Source organism: Homo sapiens, chromosome 9 (assembly GCF_000001405.40).
Source record: "Homo sapiens chromosome 9, GRCh38.p14 Primary Assembly".
NCBI classification, from domain to species: domain Eukaryota; kingdom Metazoa; phylum Chordata; class Mammalia; order Primates; family Hominidae; genus Homo; species Homo sapiens.
Genome location: NC_000009.12, coordinates 110,947,371 through 110,966,912, shown reverse-complemented (window position 1 = coordinate 110,966,912; position 19,542 = coordinate 110,947,371). Strand labels below are relative to the sequence as shown.

Sequence of the window (19,542 nt, the reverse complement as noted above, 5' to 3'; positions counted from 1 at the left end):
GTTACTGTGGATAGAAGTTGGATTAAAAGTTTCATTTTCATTGTTCATGAAAGAGTCAATAGTTCAGTACCAGAGTGAGCAGTTTGGCTTCTCTTAAACCTAGGATTATATTAGAGGCCAGAATAGGTATCTGAAAACCTAAAAGATATTCAGGTCTCACACCTGTGATTCCAGTAAGGCAAGAGTCTTCTTTATCAGTATTTTTCATGGTGTATCATTCTGTCTCTCATTTGTTACATGACCATTTTGTTATTTTTTAATTTTCATTTTTATATTTATTTGAATTTAAATTATTTTATTCTAAAATATTTTACTTTAAGTTCTGGGATACATGTGCAGAACATGCAGGTTTGTTACATAGGTATACATGTGCCATGGTAGTTTGCTGTACCTATCAACCCATCATCTAGGTTGGTTTTTTTTTTTTTTTTCTTGAGATGGAGTCTCACTCTGTTGCCCAGGCTGGAGTGCAATGTCGTGATCTTGGCTCGCCACAACCTCTGCCTCCTGAGTTCAAGCGATTCTCCTGCCTCAGCCTCCTGAGTAGCTGGGACTACAGGCGTGTGCCACCATGCCTGGCTAATTTTTATATTTTTAGTAGAGATGGGGTTTCACTATGTTGGCCAGGCTGGTCTTGAACTCCTGACTTAGTGATCCGCCCACCTTGGCCTGCCAAAGTGCTGAGATTACAGGTGTGAGCCAGCATGCCCGGCCCATCATCTAGGTTTTAAGCCCGCATACAATAGGTATTTGTTCTAATGCTCTCCCTCCCCTTTTCCCCCACTCCCAGACAGGCCCTGGTGTGTGATGTTCCCCTCCCTGTGTCCATGTGTTCTCATTGTTCATCTCCCACTTATGAGTGAGAATATGTGGTACTTGGTTTTCTGTTCCTGTGTTAGTTTGCTGAGAATGATGGTTTTCAGCTTCATCCATGTCTCTACAAAAGATGTGAACTTATTCTTTTTTATGGCTGCATAGTATTCCATGGTGTATATGTGCCATATCTTCTTTATCCAGTCTGTCATTGATGGGCATCTGGGTTGGTTCCAAGTCTTTGCTATTGTAAATATAGTGCTACAATAAACATGCGTGTGCATGTGTCTTCATAGTAGAAATGATTTATAATCCTTCGGGTATATACCCAGTAATGGGATTGCTGGGTCAGATGGTATTTCTGGTTCTACATCCTTGAGGAATCACCACACTGTCTTCCACAAAGGTTGAACTAGTTCACATTCCCACCAACAGTGTAAAGGTGTTCCCATTTCTCCACATCCTCTTCAGCATCTGTTGTTTCCTGACTTTTTAATAATCATCATTCTAACTGGTGTGAGATGGTATCTCATTGTGGTTTTGATTTGCATTTCTCTAATGACCAGGAATAATGAGCTTTTTTTCATATGTTTGTTGGACACATAAATGTCTTCTTTTGAGAAGTATCCGTTCATATCCTTCACCCACATTTTGATGGGGTTGTTTTTTCTCTTAAATTTGTTTAAGTTCCTTGTAGATTCTGGATATTAGACCTTTGTCAGATGGATAGATTGCAAAATTTTTCTCCCATTCTGTAGGTTGCCTGTTCACAACCATTTTGGTTTTAAGTCAAGAACATAAAGATATTTTGATCCCTCCAAGTGATTTCCTGTAGCTTTCATTGAAGATGTGAATTTGGGTAGATTTTCAATATCTTAGTTAAGAGATTGTTCCTCCAATTCTCATTCAGTGTTCTGATAAAAAGTGATTGCGGCTGGGTGCTGTGGCTCACACCTATAATCCCAGCACTTTGGGAGGTTGAGACTGGTGGATCACCTGTCAGAAGTTTGAGACCAGCCTGGCCAATATGGTGAAACCCCGTCTCTACTGAAAATACAAAAATCAGCTGGGTGTGGTGGCGTGCACCTGTAATCTCAGCTACTCAGGAGGCTGAGACAGGAGAATTGCTTGAACCCAGGAGGCAAATGTGGCAGGTTGCAGTGAGCCGAGATCGCACTACTGCACTCCAGCCTAGGTGAAACAGTGAGACTCTGTCTCAAAAAAAAAAAAAAAAAAAAAAAAAAAAGTGATTGGTGTCTGTTTGTTGTCTTTTGGAAGACACTTTTTTTTGGACATCCTTACCAATAGGTACTCTCAACAAAATATGTATTTTCAAAATCTGTGTTTTAGGTTTTATTTCTGTTATTAGAAAGTGGATTTTTTTTTTATCAAAGCAACTGAATTTCACATTAAATGGGTTTTTTTTTTGAGGCTGAAAGATTCGTCTTTTTGGATAGAACTTTGTACTATGGCAGTTTTCAGACATTCACAAAAATAAAAATAACAATCTCAATATAGCCAACACCTAGATTCAGTAATAACATTTTGACACAGTTGCTTCACTTGCTCCTTTTTTGGGGGATGAAGTATTTTAGGATCCCTAGCATTGTCATCTTTTAAAAAATCCCCTTATGTTAATATGCATATCTAAAAAATAATTTGCTTAAATAACCACACTGCCATCATCACACTTAGCAAAAGTATAAATAACTCCTTAATATCACTTGATACTCAATTCACATTCAGGTTTCTTCAGTTGCTTTTCTAAAATGTGTTCTTGTAGTTGGTGGGTTATTTATTTTTATTTTTTAAAAACATTGATTAGATCAGTTTACTCTTCTGCATAAAATGATTCAATGACTCTTAAGGTTTAAAAAGGCAATTCCACTTCCTCTCTTTATTTTCTAAGTGAGAAAACAGATTGAAATTATAACTAGAATATTTCACAACTGAAGAATACAAAAATGAGACACACAGAAGGCTTCAGAGTAAGGGAATTCATACAATGTTTGCAATTATTAAATTATGAGTCTCTGAAATAAGGGATTACAGATTATCTTGACAGTGCTTTCTTTCAAACTAAAATGTGAACAATTAATTGCAGTATGAAGTATGTTTCCAGTGCCACACGATAATTTCGTCTAACATAGAATTGAGAAAAGGTAATGCATGGGCGTAGACCCGGGTGGATTTTGGTTCAAATCTAGACTGTTATACACCATAGCTGGGGGATCTTCAGTACATAGGTCTTTTTCAGCTTTATTTTTTAAAATCTCTAGAATTCAAATAACATACAGTGTGGTAACAAGTTTAAATGGCAAAAATAACTGTTAAGTGCTTTGTATAGTATCAGCCTTTTGATAGATACCTGACGTATGTTAGTTCTTTCCCTTTTCCCCATGATTAGTCTGGAAGTTCTTTTTTTTTTAAATTTTATTATTATTACACTTTAAGTTTTAGGGTACATGTGCACAATGTGCAGGTTTGTTACATATGTATACATGTGCCATGTTGGTGTTCTGCACCCATTAACTCGTCATTTAACATTAGGTAAATTCTGGAAGTTCTTTACAGGGAGAAAGAGGTAACCACTACATATGGTCTGTGTATGTGGTATGCCAGAAGACCCATCAAAGGAAGGCCACGTTGGATAAACACTCTATGGAAAACTCCAACGTATTGCCAGGAATAAATGCATGTGGAGATAAACATTGAGACTTCTGACTTCATCTTGAACCATGTTTCTATTAGAAGTTAAATTTGTTCCCATATTGCAATTTAAATTCATCTTGTGCCTCCTTTTGTGTTTATAAACTCAGATAAGGTTTGAGAAGAGATATTATTTTGGAATCTGAAAGCCCATTTTGAATTTTCTATTCATAAGATGAAATTGTACAGGGGTACCTAGGGTAAACCACATAAGACACCTTTCATGTTTGTTTATTTTTCTTTCTAATACATCCTTTTTAATTGGTTTAGTCTTCAATGGTTAATGGAGCTACTCCTTTATCTTTCAAAGTGGGTCTGGCTTTTTCCCACTTCTTGCCCATTAGGGAACTGTTTGCCCAATCTCGTTTTCATACCCCTAGATTCTCCAGCTGTCTTTCTTTGAACTTTTGTTGCAGCTTTGCTGTGAATACACACTAAGGTGGGACAGTGGCCTGCTGTTTTTTTCCACCTGAGAAAATCATAGAGTCCAGGGGATTTCTGTCTTTTAAGATCTGTACCTTGCCTTAATAAGACTGTCATTTAAAAAAAATCAACCTTTCCCTGCTGTGTGAAAATATTAATACTGCCATTTGGTAATTGCATAACATCACTTAAGAGCTGCCCTTAAGTTAAACTTATCCCATTTCATACATGATTGTGTTAGGCAGGCTCAGGCCAGGAGAAAAGCAAAAGTGGGTTGATACTTTCTTCTCAGCATCAGAGAATATGTTTATTAGAGGGCCATGGAGCATATTAGTTTCTGAAAGCATAGATTAGAAATAAAGCAACTTTCAATGATTCAGACAACCTTTAGTAGCAGGAATTCCAATCTTGAAGGAAGAAGAGTAGGGTGTGTGTGTTGGTCAACTAGTTGGCTGATTTCAAAGTCAGAATGTCCAGCAGGTGATATCAAACATTTGCACTTAGATGAGTTTCCACCACCAAGCATAGGAAGGTTTTGGAGTGGAGCAGGTGTAGGCCCCAGCTCTCAGGGCTTTGCCTACTTAGAACTCTGTTTAGTATTACCTTAATTGTGGTTGATCAGGTTACTGCAGTAACCTGGTAAAGACAGTGGAGGAGAAGACCCAGGAAGCATCCCAGCTCAATGGCACAGGTCATAGTGCAGGGCTCACCTCTGACATGCTGGATTGTGTAGAGATGACTGATGGGAACTTAGGAATGAGCTGTCATGGTCAGATGTAGATCCCACTTATGTAAGATAGGTCAAGATGGAGAGACTTAACCATAGATCATTCCACTGTCTCATTCAAAACTAGCTGGAAAACTAGGGCAACACTGAAGTTACAGGGGGGAATTCAATGCTATGGCAGTGGAGGAAGAAAAGGCAGGAGAAACAAGGTGGCAAATGATTGTGAGGATTATAGTCATCAGTTACACCATGGTATTTACTCTTTCAAATGATGTATCACAAATATACATGATATGGTTTGACTGTGTTCCCACCCAAATCTTATCCTGAATCGTAGCTCCCATAATCCTCATGTTGTGGGAGGGACCTGGTGGGAGGTAATTGAATCACGGGGGTGGGTTTTTCCCATGCTGTTCTCATGATAGTAAATAAGTCTCATGAGATCTGATGGTTTTATAAAGGGCAGTTCCCCTGTACACACTCTCTTGCCTGCGGCCATGTACGATGTGCCTTTGCTCCTCCTTCACCTTCTGCCATGATTGTGATGCCTCCCCAGACATGTGGAACTGTGAGTCCATTAAACCTCTTTTTCTTTCTTTCTTTTTTTTTTTTTTTTTTTTTTTGAGATAGTCTCGCTCTGTCACCCAGGCTGAAGTGCAGTGGCATGATCACAGTTCACTGCAACCTCTGCCTCCCGGTTTCAAGCGATTCTCCTGTCTCAGCCTCCCAAGTAGCTGGGACTACAAGTGTGTGCCACTACACCTGGCTAATTTTTATATTTTTAGTAGGATGGGATTTCACCATGTTGGCCAGGCTGGTCTTGAACTCCTGACCTCAGGTGATCCACCCGTCTCGGCCTCCCAAAGTGCTGGGATTACAGGTGTGAGCCACCGTGCCTGGCCCTAAACCTCTTTTTTTTTTAATAAGTTACCCAGTGTTGGGTATTTCTTCATAGCAGTATGAAAATGGACTAATACATTTACTCATAGGAGTCTTAGGACCACATTTGGCTTTTTTTTTTTTTCCCCTTAAAATGGTTATAAATGAATTGCTCTCAGTATCTAAAATATTAAGTGCTGCTTTTTAAAAATTGTATAAGTTTATTGCTGTCTCTTAGCTCATCACAGTAAAAACATAGTTTATAGAGATAAGCTGTTTTGTAATAAAAAAAGGACAATAATGGAAGGTAGTAGAAGATAATAAAAACTAAAATAGATACAAAATTCCATTTTAAAAATTGAAATGGAACAAGTTTATAAGGAAATATATTGTTATTAGCCTTTCAGCAAAATGGCCTAATGGAAAATAATTTTTCATTTTTGTCAGTATGAATTATTACATTGTTTTGACCTGTCAGTTCAAGTAAGGCTGCATTTTAGAGCTGGCATTTGGTTTATGAAGTTTCAAGTCTTCTGGGTTACCTGATTAAAAGTTGCAGGAGAATAGATGTCACAGAAATAGAGTTCTCAGTGTTCAACATATAAAAGGTGATCTTTTTCTCTTTGTTTTGTGGATGAGTAAATTAACATTCCCTCCCATTTCTTCCTCTCTCTCTTAATGGCTCAGACTGAATTCAATTTCTTTCTTTCCTTTTTTAAAAAAAATTAAGCAAAATGAAATGCTTACAGGGAGTTATAATGCAATAACATAGCCATTACCCAGCTTTGTAAAATGTTAACATTTCGATGTAATTTCTTCAAGATCTTTTGGGACTTAATACATAAAACAAGTCAGTAATTACAGATAAAGTTGGAGCCCTTTTACTCCTTCCTAATTCCATTAGCCTCCTCTTTGCCCAGACCATTAATTGATACTTATCGTCTCTCTGCATGTGCTTGTGAATGTATACATATGTGAGAAAAACATAAAAAATATATAGTAGGCTTCTGCAGGTTTATTTATTGATACATAATATTTGTACATGTTTACAGGGTACATGTGATATTTTATTACACACATAGAATGTGTCATGATCAAGTCAGGCTATTCAGGCTATTCATCACCTCATGTACTTATTATTTCTGTTGAGATATGTTGGGAACACATCCATGTGTTCCTATCCATATCAATGTGTTGGGAATGTTTTAAGTTCTCTCTTCTTGCTGTTTGGAAATATACCATACATTTTCGTTAACTATAGCCACCCTACTCTGCTATCGAATGTTAGAACTTACTCCTTCTATCTAACTGTATGTTTGTACCCATTAACTAACCCCTCTTTATCCTCACCTCCCCATTACCCTTCCCAGCCTCTGGTAACCACCATTCTATTCACTATACATGAGATCAATTTTTTTTAATCCTATGTTCATAGATCCCATGCCTGGGATATTTGTCATTCTGTGTCTGGCTTATTTCGCTTAATATAAGGACTGCCCCCCACTCCATTCGTGTTGCTGCAACTGACATGATTTCATTCTTTTTTATGACCAGATAGTATCCCATTGTGTATATATACCACATTTTCTTTATCCATTCATTAATTGGTAGGCATTTAGGTTGAATCTGTGTCTCTGCTATTTTAAATAGTGCTGTGGTAACACATGAATGCAGGTATCCTTTTGATATACTGATATCTTTTTCCTCTTCTACTTTTTTTTGTTTATTTTTTTGTTTGTTTTTTGAGACAGGTTCTCACTCTGTCACCCAGGCTGGAGTGCAGTGTTGTGATCTCAGCTCACTGCAACCTCCACCACCCAGGCTCAAGTGATCCTCCCACCTCAGCCTCCCAAGTAGCTAGGACCACAGGTGTGTACCACCATGCCTGGCTAATTTTTTTTTATTTTTGGTAGAGACGGGGTTTCACCGTGTTGCCCAGGCTGGTCTTGAACTCCTAAGCTCAAGCAATTTGCCTGCCTCAGCCCCCTAAAGTGCTGAAATGATGCCCTCCCTCCCTTCCTCCCTTCTTCCTTTCTTCCTTTCCTCCTTTCCTCCTTTCCTCCCTTCCTCCCTTCCTTCCATCCTTACCTTCTCTGTCTTTCTTTCTTTTTTCTCTTTTCTGATAAATAGCCAGTAGAGGGATACCTAGATCATATGGAATGTCTGGTTTTAGTGGTTTTTTTTTTTTTTTGTAGAGACATCTTCATACTGTTTTTTTTTAATAGTCACTGTACTAATTTACATTCCCACCAACACTGTATAAGAGTTCCCTTTTCTCTGCATCCTTGCCAGCATTTTTTTTTTTTGTCTTTTTAATAATAGCCATTCTGGCTGGGGTAAGATGATATCTTATTGTGGTTTTGATTTGCATTTCCCTGATGATTAGGAAAGTTAAGCGTTTTTTTTCATATACCTACTGGGCATTTGTATGTCTTCTTATGAGAAAGTGTATTCATATCCTTTGCCCACTTTTTAATGAGATTATTTGCTTTTTTTTTTTTTTAACTCTTGACTTGTTTGAGTTCCTTCCTTGTATACTCTGGATATTATACCTTGTCAGATGAATAGTTAGAAAATATTTTATCCCATTCAACCAGTTGCCTCTCATTCTATTGATTGTTTTAAAACATTTAGTTTAAAATAGTCCCTTTTGCCTGTTTTTGTTTTTATTTGTGCTTTTGAGGTCTTAGCCATAAAATATTTGCCTAGATCAGTGCCCCGAAGTGTTTCCCAATGTTTTTAGTAATTTTATAGTTTGCAGTCTTAATAAAGTCTTTATCTTGAGTTGATTTTTATATGTGGTGAGACATAGGGGTCCAGTTCTATTCTTCTGCATAAGGATATCCAGTTTTCCCAGCACCACTTATTGAAGAGGGTTTCTTTCCTCAGTGTAGGTTCTTGATGCTTTTGTCAAAAAGTAGGTTGGCTGTAAATACAGGGATTTATTTCTGTGTTTTCTATTCTGTTCCATTGGTCTATGTGTCTGTTTTTATACCAATACCATGCTGTTTTGGTTACCATAGCTTTGTGATATATTTTGAAGTCAGATAGTGTGATGTTTCCAGCTTTGTTCTTTTTGCTCAGGATTGCTTTAGCTATTTAGGCTTGTTTTTGGTTCTGTATGAATTTTGGGATTGTTTTTTCTATTTCTGTGAAAAATGACATTGGTATTTTGATAGAGATTGCATTGAATCTGTAGATTGCTTTGGGTAGTGTGATCATTTTAACAACGTTAATTCGTTCGATCTATAAGCATAGGATGTCTTTCCATTTGTGTCCTCTTCAGTTTCTTTCATCAGTGTTTTGTAGTTTTCCTTGAAGAGGTCTTTTCCCTCCTTGCATAAATTTGGTCCTAGGTATTTTATTTTATTTTTGTAGCTTTGGAAAGGGGATTGCCTTCTTTATTTCTTTTTTGGATAGTTCATTATTGGTGTGTAAAAACACTATTGATTTTTGTATGTTGATTTTGTATCCTGCAACTTTACTGAATTTATCCAACGTAGGAGATTTTTGGTGGAGTCTTTAGATTTTTCTAGATATAAGATCATGTCATCTGCAAAGGGGGGCAATTTGCCTTCCTCTTTTCCAATTTGGATGCCTTTATTTCTTTCTCTTGCCTGATTGCTTTGGCTGGAACTTCTAGTATTATGTTGACTAGGAGTGGTGAAAGTGGGCATGCTGTGTTGTTCCAGTTCTTAGAAGAAAGGCTTTCAGCTTTTCCCTATTCAATATGATGTTAGCTGTGGATTTGTCATATATAGGCTTTATTAGGTTAAGGTATGTTCCTTTTATGCCTAGTTTGCTGAGAGTTTTTGTCATGAAAGAATGTTGAATTTTATCAATTTTTTTTGCATCTATTGAGATGGTCATATGGTATTTATTCTTCGTTCTGTTAATATGATGTATTGTGTTTATTGATTTGCATATGTTGAACCATCATTGCATCCATGGGATAAATCCTACTTGATCATGGTGCATGGTGCATGGTGCATTATTATTATTATTATTATTTTTTTTTTTTTGAGACAGAGTATCACTCTATCACCTAGGTTGGAGTGCAATGGCATAATCATAGCTCCTGGGCTCAAGGGTTCCTCTTGCCTCAGCCTCCCATGTAGCTGGGACTATAGGTGCGCACTACTATGCCTTTTTTTTTTGTAGAGATGGCATCTCACTTTGTTGCCCAGGCTGGTCTTGAACTCCTGGGCTCAAGTGATCCTCCCACCTTGACCTCCCAAAATTCTGGGATTACGGGCATGAGCCACTGAGCCCAACGTGGTATATTATCTTTTTGATGTGTTATTAGATTCAGTTTGCTGATATTTTGTTGAGGATTTTTTCCATCTATGTTCATCTGGGATATAGCCCTGCAGTTTTCTTTTTGTGTTGCATCCTTTTCTGGTTTCGATATCAGAGTAATGCTGGCCTTGTAGAATGGATTAGGAAAAATCACCTCCCTTTGATATTTTGGAATCCTTTGAGGAGAATTGTGTTAATTCTTTGTAAGTTTGGTAGAATTTGGCAGTGAAGTCATTTAGTCCTGGAATTTATTTTGTTGGGAGACTTTTTATTACTGATTCAGTCTCATTATTCATTGTTGGTCTGTTTAGGTTTTCCACTTTTTGATTCAATCTTGGTAGGTTGTATGTTTCTAGGAATGTATCCATTTCCTCTAGGTTTTCCAGTTTGCTAGCGTATAGTTGTTTATAATAGTCTGATGATCTTTTGTATTTCTATGGTATCAGTTATACTGCTTTTTTTTTCATTTCTAATTATATTTGGGTTGTCTTTTTTCTTGGTTAGTCTAGTTAGTAGTTCAATTTTGTTTATCTTTTCAAAACACTAACTTCTTTGGTTGATCCTTTGTATTGTCTTTTAAAGTCTATTTTATTTAGTTTTGCCCTAATCTTTCTTTCTTTATTTTTTAAATATTAACTTTTATTCCCTACTACACATAGTATTTTTATTATTATTATTATACTTTAAGTTCTGGGGTACATGTGCAGAATGTGCAGTTTTGTTACATAGGTATACACATGCTATGGTGGTTTGCTGCACCCATCAACCCGTCACCTACATTAAGTATTTCTCCTAATGCTATCCCTCCCCTAGCCCCCCAACCCCCCGACAGGCCCCCATGTGTGGTGTTCCCCTCCCGGTGTCCATGTGTTCGCCTTGTTCAACTCCCACTTATGAGTGAGAACATGCAGTGTTTCGTTTTCTGTTCTTGTGATAGTTTGCTGATAATGATGGTTTCCAGCTTCATCCATGTCCCTGCAAAGGACACGAACTCATCCTTTTTTTATGCCCTAATCTTTATTATTTTTTTTCTTCTATTTATTTGGGGCTTGATTTTGTTCTTTTCTAGTTTTTTGAGATACATTTTTGGGTTGTTTATTGGAAATCTTTCTAGTTTTTTGATGTAGGAATTTATTGCTATAAATTTCCTTCTTTGCACTGCTTTGGTTGTATCCCATTGGTTTTGGTATGTTGTGTTTCAATTTTCATTTGTTTCAAGAAATTTTTTGATTTTCTTTTTAATTTCTTCCTTGACCCAATGGTCATTCAGTAGTATTTTTTTTAATTCCATGTATTTGTATAGTTTCCAAAGTTACTCTTGTAATTGATTTGTGTTTTTTTTTTTCTATTGTGGTCTGAGGAGATAATTGGTATGATTTTTATTTAAATTTGTTGAGACTTTTTTATGTGGTCTATTCTGGGAACTGTTCCATGTGCTGATACAAAGAATGTATATTCTATAGCAGTTGGATGAAATGTTCTCTAAATGTCTATTAGGTCCATTTTTGTGTAAAGTGTAGTTTAAATCCAATGTTTATTTGTTAATTTTTTTCCCAATGCTGAGAGTGGGGTGTTGAGGTCACCAACCATTATTGTATTGGAATCTGTCTCTTCCTTTAGGTCTAATAATATTATACATCTAGTTGTTTCTGTGTTTGGTGTATATGTTTAGAATTGTTACATCTTCCTGGATTGATTCCTTTATCGTTATGTAATGACCCTCTTTATCTCTTTTTACTGTTTTAATTTAAAGTCCATTTTATCTGACATGTGTATAGGTACTTGTGTTCATTCTTGGTTTTCATTTGCATGGAATATCTTTTTCTGTCTTTTTACTTTCAGTCTACATGTTTCTTCACAGATGAGATGAGTTTCTTGTGGGTAACAGTATAGTTGGATCACGTTTTTAAATCCATTCAGCCAGGCTGTATCTTTTAAGTGGAAAGTTTAATCTGTTTACATTCTTGGTTGTTATTGATATGTGAGGGATTATTCCTGTCATTTTGTTAATTGATTTTTGGTTGTTTCATGTATCCTTTTTCCTTTCTTTCTTACTGTTTATCATTGTGGTTTTGTGGTTTTCTTTAGTGGTAACATATGAATTCTTTCTCTTCCTCATTTGTGTGTTTGCTCTACCAGTGGGTTTTACACTTTTGTATGTTTTCATGATGGTAGAAATTATCCTGTCACTTCCAAGTGTAGGACTCCCTGAAGCATTTCTTGTAGGTATGGTCTAGTGGTAATTCCCTCAGCTTTTGCTTGTTTGGGAAATACATTATTTATTCTACATTTATGAAGGATAACTTTGCTGGGTATAGTATCTTTACTGGCAGTTTTTTTTGTTTGTTTGTTTGTTTGTTTTTTTCCTCCTTCAGCACTTCGAATGAATGTGTCATCCCATCCCATTCTCTCCTGGCCTGTACAATTTCTCCTGACAAATCTGTTAGTCTGATGAGGGTTCCCTTATAAGTGACTTGATGCTTTTTGTTTTTCTTGAGGTTTTTATAATTCTCTGTTTGTCCTTGACTTTTGATAGTTTGATTATTATGTGCTGGAGAAGACCTTTTTGGGTTGTATCTGTTTGGGGATCCCTGAGCCTCCTATATCTGGATGTCTAATTCTCTTGCTAGACTTGGGAAATTTTCAGCTGTTATTTTGTTAAATAGGTCTTCTTTCCCTTTCATTTTTCTCTTTGCCTTCTGGAACATGTAAAATTCAAATATTTGATCAGTATATTGTGTCCAATATGTCACATAGGCTTTGTTCATTCTTTTTTTATCCTTTTGTTTCTCTTTTGGTCTGCCTGGGTTATGTCAAAAGACCTGTCTTCAAATTCTGAAATTGTTCTCCTTGATCTTGTCTGTTGTCTGTTGTTGAAGCTTTTTGAATGTATTTTGTATTTCTTTCAGTGAATTCTTTAGTACCAAGATTTCTGTTTGGTTCTTTTTAATGATATCTGTCTCTGCTAAATTTCTCATTTATATCCTGAATTGCTTTTCTGATTTCTTTTTATTGTTTAATCTGAATTCTCTTATAATTCACTATTTTTTAAAATATTATTATTTTGAATTCTTTGTCCTGGATTTCATAAGTTTCTTTTTCATTCAAGTCTATTGCTGAAGAATTATTGTGCTCTTTTGAAGGTGTCATAGTTCCTTGCTTTTTTGTGTTTCTTTTGTTCGCATGTTGATAATTTGCACATCTGATATAAAATTTTCTTATTCCAGTTTTGGGAATTTACTTTCATAGGGGAGGATGTTTTCCTGAAGATGTATCTATGGTGTTGGTTGTGTAGGTCACTTTGGCTTTGATTCTGAGTATGTGAAGTAGTGTAGTCTCCATATAATTTCTTTGGCTGTAAATGCATCAGTAGTGTCTGTAATTTTTTTTTTTTTTTTTGAGACCAAGTTTCACTCTTGTTGCCCAGGCTGGAGTGACATGGCACGATCTTGGCTCACCACAACCTCTGCCTCCTGGGTTCAAGCCATTCTTCTGCCTCAGCCTCCCAAGTAGTTGGGATTACAGGCATGTGCCACCATGCCCGGCTAATTTTGTATTTTTAGTAGAGTTGGGGTTTCTCCATGTTGATCAGGCTGGTCTTGAACTTCCGACCTCAGGTGATCTGTCCACCTCGGCCTCCCAAAGTGCTGGGATTACAGGCATGAGCCACTACGCCCGGACTATGTGTCTGTAATTCTTTAAGTGGCTTTGGGTGTGGTTGGTTGTGGAGGCTGTGGCAAAGGTTTGCTGGGGCCGGGGATGTCAGATGGGTCAGTCCTGAGCCTCAGTAGTGGCAGTTGCAGGCTGAGCATGCCTGTTCTTGGTGTATGCTGGTACCAGTGTAAGAGGTCCAGGCAGGCTGATTCTTGAGCCTCCAGGCTTGCCTGAGTGGGCCAGGCATGTGGGTAGGTCCTTAGGTCCCTCTGAGTGTCAGGTGTGGTGTGGGAGATAGCAGTATTAGTGATGGGGCAACCCTGTGGGATCCAGGTGGTCCATACTGTGTTGACAGTGGCTGCAACAGGCTGGGAGGGCCAGTCGCCAGGCCTGCAGTTGGCACATACGTCTGTGTGCCAACTGAGGTGATAGTGGCAGTTTGGGTGAGCCCATCCTGAGATCCCCAGGAAGTGTGCTCAGGTGCCAGTGGTGGTGGTTGGGGCAGGGTGATCCCAAGGCCCCTGGATGGCATGCTTGAGCACTGGAGGTAGACAGTGGAGCTGGGCCAGGTGGACGTGTCCTCAGGCTCCCAAGTGCTGGTGCTAGCTGTGGTAGGCAGGGGCGGGGTGATCCTCAGTTCTGCAGTGGAATGCTTGGTGGGGGTGGCAATGGCTGTGCTGTGGTCCTACTGCTGGGGAGGGCGGGGTTGCTTTCAGTGGCAGCAACCACAGACAGGTGGTTGGAGAGCACATGCTTCAGCCCCAGGTAGCAGCTATAAGCAGAGTAGCCTTTCCTCAGGGCACTTTTAAGTGTGTTGTAGCCCTGCTATCGTGGGCAGCAGAGTTGCTGCCAATGGCAGTCAGCTGTGGTGGTAGATGTAAGCAGAGGGTGTCAGTGTAGCTTCAGATATGTGGAGAGAGGAGGGTCTTGGGCCCCTTGGGTAGATGCAGTTTGGTGGGGGCTGGGTTCTCAAAGTGGTGCTTTGCTGTAGCTGCTTAGGACTAGAGGGTGAGGGGGAAGGTGGGAATTGGCATGAGCTCTGTCTCTGGAGTAACGCTGTTGCATGGTCTCCAGGCAGCTCCCTACATCAGTTTCAGGGCCCTTTTGGGTTGAGGGGCTCTCCTGTGGCTAGGATTGGAGTCTGGTGGGATTGTGGACCACTGGAGGTCACTTCCCCTTTCCCTACATCGAAGAGCTGTTCCAGGCTTCTCGCCAGTCCCAGAACAGCAGGCTGCCTTGCTTCCCTCTTCTTCCTTGCCTTAGGTGTTTCCTGTCACTTCTCTGTTGAATTCTAGTACTCTTTTTTAGGTGGTCTGTTTAAAGTGTGACTATCTACTTGCTATTTCTGTTCTTTGTGGAGGAGGTGAGTACCAGATGCCTCTAGTCAGCCGTCTTGGCTTCTGCAAGTTTTTAATATTCACAAGAATAATGTACTGCATGCATCCTTGTGCAAATTGCTTTAGTCATTAGCATATTTAAAGCTATACTTTGTTTATTTTAACTGCTTTATATCTTTCTGGTAATATTGTGATTTATTCCTTCACCAGTTGATAAATATTTGTGTTGCTTTTGATATTTTAAAAGAGTGGCAATTGGAATTCATGTGTCTCTCGTTAGGCACATGTGTGATTTTTTTTTTAAACTAGGGTTAGAATCTTTTGATCTAGTGTATGAACATGTTCATAGTTAGTAGTTTTTGCCAAACTGTTTTTCAAAGCTATTGTACTAAATTTTACTTTCACTAGCACTGTAGGACTGACCTCACTGACTCTTGACATTTTCCAACTTGGTAATTTTTGCCAACCTGATGGAAATAAATTGGATCTCACTGCAGTTTGTAATTAATTCTCTGATTCCCTGTAAATGTAATTTTCTTTTCTTGTGATTATTGGCTCTTAAGGTTTTCTCTTCTGTGAATTGCCTATCCACATCGGTGCCCCTTTTTCTGTTGGATTGTTTGTCTTTTCCCTTTTTGACTTGTAAGAAGTCTTTACATTTCACTGTAGAGAAAGTCTTTCTTATGTGTGTTTCTAAAGTTTCTACTAATTTAGTTTTTCTTTTCACTCATTAGATTTTGCAGCACAGAAGTCTTAAAATTTTGATTAGTCAAGTTTTATCGATGCTTTTTGGTCATATTTAGAAATATTCCCCTCTTCAGAGCTTATAAATATATTTTTTCATTTTCTTCTTAAAATTATATTTTATTATATGTGTATTTTCATATTGCCTGAAACGGATTTCTGTGTTTAAAATAAATATTCAGTTTTTAAGTATTATTACATGAATGAACAGATACGTCATTTTCTCAATTGATGGGTAAAATCATATCTCTCATATCAAGTTATAATATGTGTGTTTCAGGCTCTTTATTCTGTTCCATTGGGCTATCCATGTATTTCTATGCCAATATCACAATGTCCTAACTACCATCACTTTAAAATGTAGTATTCAATAACGCATCTAGTTATTAGTTTTCTAGTTGTCTTGGGTATTGTTGTTCTTTTGTGCTTTCATATCAATGTTCAGGGAGTCTGTCAAGTTCCATGAGAAACCCTTTTGGGATTTTAATTTTATCATGTTAAATTTATATATTGATACTGGGAAAATTGACATCTTTACATCTCTATTCACAAAAATATTTTATTTCTTCATTTATTTAGGTTTGCTTGTATGCTTTTGTAAAGTCAGACTTATTCCTAGATACGTTAGAGCTCTTGTTACTGTAAATGTGTTCTTTCTTGAAATAATAACTAGAATTTTTTTTTCTGGTATTTTTATAGGAGCAGTTGATTCATATGGCTTGATGATTAATTCAGAAAATTTGTTAAACTCTCTTAATACAGTTTGTTTATAGGTGTCTTGCATTTTCTGTGTAACTGATTATATTATGTGTGGTTAAAAATAAGGTTTTTTAAAAATTTCCAGTTTTTTTTTTTTTTTTTTTTAGACAGAGTCTTACTGTGTCACCCAGGCTGGAATGCAGTGATGCTATCTCCGCTCACTGCAACCTCCGCCTCCCAGGTTCAAGCAATTCTCATGCCTCAGCCTCCCAAATAGCTGGGATTACAGGCATGTACCACTATGCCCAGCTAAATTTCGTATTTTTATTATAGTAGAGATGGGATTTTGCCATGCTGTCCAGACTGGTCTCAAATTCCTGGCCTCAAGTGAGCCACCTGCCTCAGCCCTTCACAGTGCTGGGATTACAGGCATCAACCACCACGCCTGTCCTTGTTTCTGTTTGAAAGTGAATGCTTAAATATGACATTCATGTCATATTTAAATATGATATGAATGTTTTGAAAGTGAATGCTTAAATATGACAATTAGTGTACATGTTTGATAGCTACTTTTCAATAAGTTAGGGAAATTAATTATCTTCTAATTATAGATTGTCAGAATATCATGAAAGTGTATTAAAAATTGCCAAGCACATTTTCCATGTCTTTTGAGATGATCATTGGCTTTTTTTCTCTCTTTCAATTTGTTAGAGTGGTTAATTATGTAACCACATTTTTTAAATGTTAAATCATCTTTGCATTCTGGAGGAAACCCTATTTAGTCGTAAGAAATTGATATACATACAACCCATTTAGTCATATATACACACACCCCATCTTCTGTGTGTTTGTGTGTATCTTGAAGATACATATTTGATTTACTTGCATTTTATTTAGAAACTCTCATTTATGGTCTTAAATTAGATTAACTCATAATTCATGTTGTTCTTACTCTCCTTGTTTGTTCTTGTAAGATGATTCTACTGGCTTCTTATGGGGTAACCAAATAAACTGGGAAAATAAGTAATAGCAAGTAATTTTAGGTAGGCTTCAGAACAAATGGAAGTAGAATGTTGAGCCACAGTAACATGTAAGATGGGAGTGGAGGCACTGGAGAGAAAACATATCAAGGGAAGAGGATTACCTTCAGACTTCTAGTCAAGTGTGCATGTTAAAATATTAAGACTAAGCATTAAAGAATAGAAACAATGTATAACTCTTGAACCAATAGAAGTGGAAAAGGGAGAATGCAGTCAGTTCCGTTTTGTCTTTAATCATTTATTATCTGACATTCTTGGGTCTAATCCTGCTGTGAACTGTTCTGGGGATTCTCACATGTGGCATCCTCCTGTGTTTTTTTCCTTTTGGAAGATGAGTTTATATTCAGTGAGGCTGGTTTGAGAGAATCCCGTGTGGCTGGCTGTGTTGAGGTCTCGTCCTCCAGAGAAGTTTGGTGTTTGCTAGTGTTAGGCGGTGAGTGGGAGGAGCATGGGGATATCACCAACTCAGGACCTTGGTTTGTGTTAATTTCTTCTCCTGAGGGTTCTCAGACTTGACAGGTAGTCTAAGTTCAAATCCCAGCCTTGTGTGATTTATGGGACTAGAGTCATGATTTCTTAAGGGACTCTTTATTTATTTTCCAATCTGGAGCCTGAGCTTGACAAAACTTCCTTGTTCTTCCCAGTGCAAGTAGGGATATCTTTTTTTTTTTTTTTCTTGATCTACACACTTACCAATACGAAGATCTTAGAGACTGCTAGCTTGGTGGGTGGGTCTCAATTCCAACTCACTGCCTCAGTCAAGCCCAAGGGCTCATCTTCTGTTTCCCAATAGTATTAAAGCCCTGTCCTCATGATCTCTGACAATCTGCTGCCTGGACAGCCTTTCACCTTGGTTTAAGTTCCCTCTTAGCTTAGCAGTGCATCTAAGGACTATTTATTATACTTTATCCAGCACATCTTAGTGTTTTTAGTGAATTTTTCCATTCCTTCCTCTTAGGACTGACACAGAATTCTCTTTGGAAATTTGACAAGTATGATGATGTGTACCTTTTCTCAGCATGGTAGACAATGGGCTATAATAGATAAAAAGTACTTTTATTAACTTACAATTTATGTGTTGCACAGTTTCTTTTTGCATATGTGTATATCACATTGATATACATTATTATTTTATAAGAAGTAGCATTTTATGTACTTTTTCAGATAAACCTCCTAAAATTTACTAGTTGCATATTCTTCAGCGATTTTAAGTATTCTAGTTTAAAATCATTTTTAGTGGATATCAGTATTGTTTTGTGGCCCATTTTCTAGTTATTGTGACAAAACATCTCACTTTTTAAAATGTCCAATTTGAAGCTCTAAGAAGGGTGAGGACTTTTTTCTTGTTAATAGAGACTTAATGGAATTTAATTAAATTCTATGCTGTCTCTTTTCTAATCTTTTTTGGAGAAAGAAAATAGGCCTGATTATTTTGAATTTAAGAATAAGAATTTAAAAAGTCTTAGAGGTCATCCTTACCTTAATTTACAAATGAGACAATTGAGATTCAGAACAGTTTTGGAACTTATTGAAAAACAAATTAGCTAGTTGAAAATGAGAATCAGAAAGAGATCTGCTAAACCAAAGCTACAAATCAGGCCCCCGCCCCGGCTCACTCTATTGTATTTTAACAGAAGTGGAGGAAGTAAGTTGGTTTGATTTGATTTATATCTTATTACTAGTTCTTTATCAGCATAGATTACAGTCTCCCTTAGAGTATCTCAGTAGAGTACATATTTACATTCATATCTAAATACTAAATCACATTGGTGTAATTACTAGCATGTGAGTTTATGCCAACTGTTCCTTCTTCCTCTTGGCCAATGAGTATGTAATTGTCTTTCAAGAGATGGAAGAACACATCAGATGTACTGTGAGTGGCTCCATGCCAGGCACTTGGGTGCATCAGTCGTACTCCTAGAAGGCATAATGCAGTGCCATGCCCAACCTGGTATCCTATAAACGTTCAAGAATGTGTGCATGGATGAATGAATTGCATGGTGAAGGTAAACAACATATGTGACTCTTTAGCGTTTAGGCTTGACAGATTTGTTATAACTTATTTTGAGATCACACAATAAGGTGAGGTAAATTTCTGAGATTTGTAACATCTACTCTATAGAGCAGCCAGTGAGATCACTTCCCTCGAACCCTATCATCCTAAGACAAAATAATTGATGGGTGAGAAAAGGGCATGAATATGAACTTCTCTTTTCAG

The 19,542-nt window shown here is 37.4% G+C and overlaps 1 protein-coding gene across 77 annotated transcripts in view, besides 2 other annotated features; it reads left to right on the top strand.

Moving 5' to 3' along the window:
• Nucleotides 1-19,542, top strand: part of LPAR1 (lysophosphatidic acid receptor 1) — a 165,736-nt gene that overhangs the window by 72,086 nt on the left and 74,108 nt on the right. The gene's annotated exons all lie outside the window — the stretch shown is intronic.
• Nucleotides 13,613-14,112: an enhancer, noted in NCBI's record as "H3K4me1 hESC enhancer chr9:113715081-113715580 (GRCh37/hg19 assembly coordinates)". NCBI's record gives its function as "activates a minimal SCP1, AML or CMV promoter by ChIP-STARR-seq in naive H9 embryonic stem cells {active_cell/tissue: H9 hESC(naive)}" and the evidence as "EXISTENCE:reporter gene assay evidence [ECO:0000049][PMID:30033119]".
• Nucleotides 14,147-14,196: a silencer, noted in NCBI's record as "silent region_20175". NCBI's record gives its function as "represses an Ori minimal core promoter by ATAC-STARR-seq in GM12878 lymphoblastoid cells {active_cell/tissue: GM12878}" and the evidence as "EXISTENCE:reporter gene assay evidence [ECO:0000049][PMID:35858748]".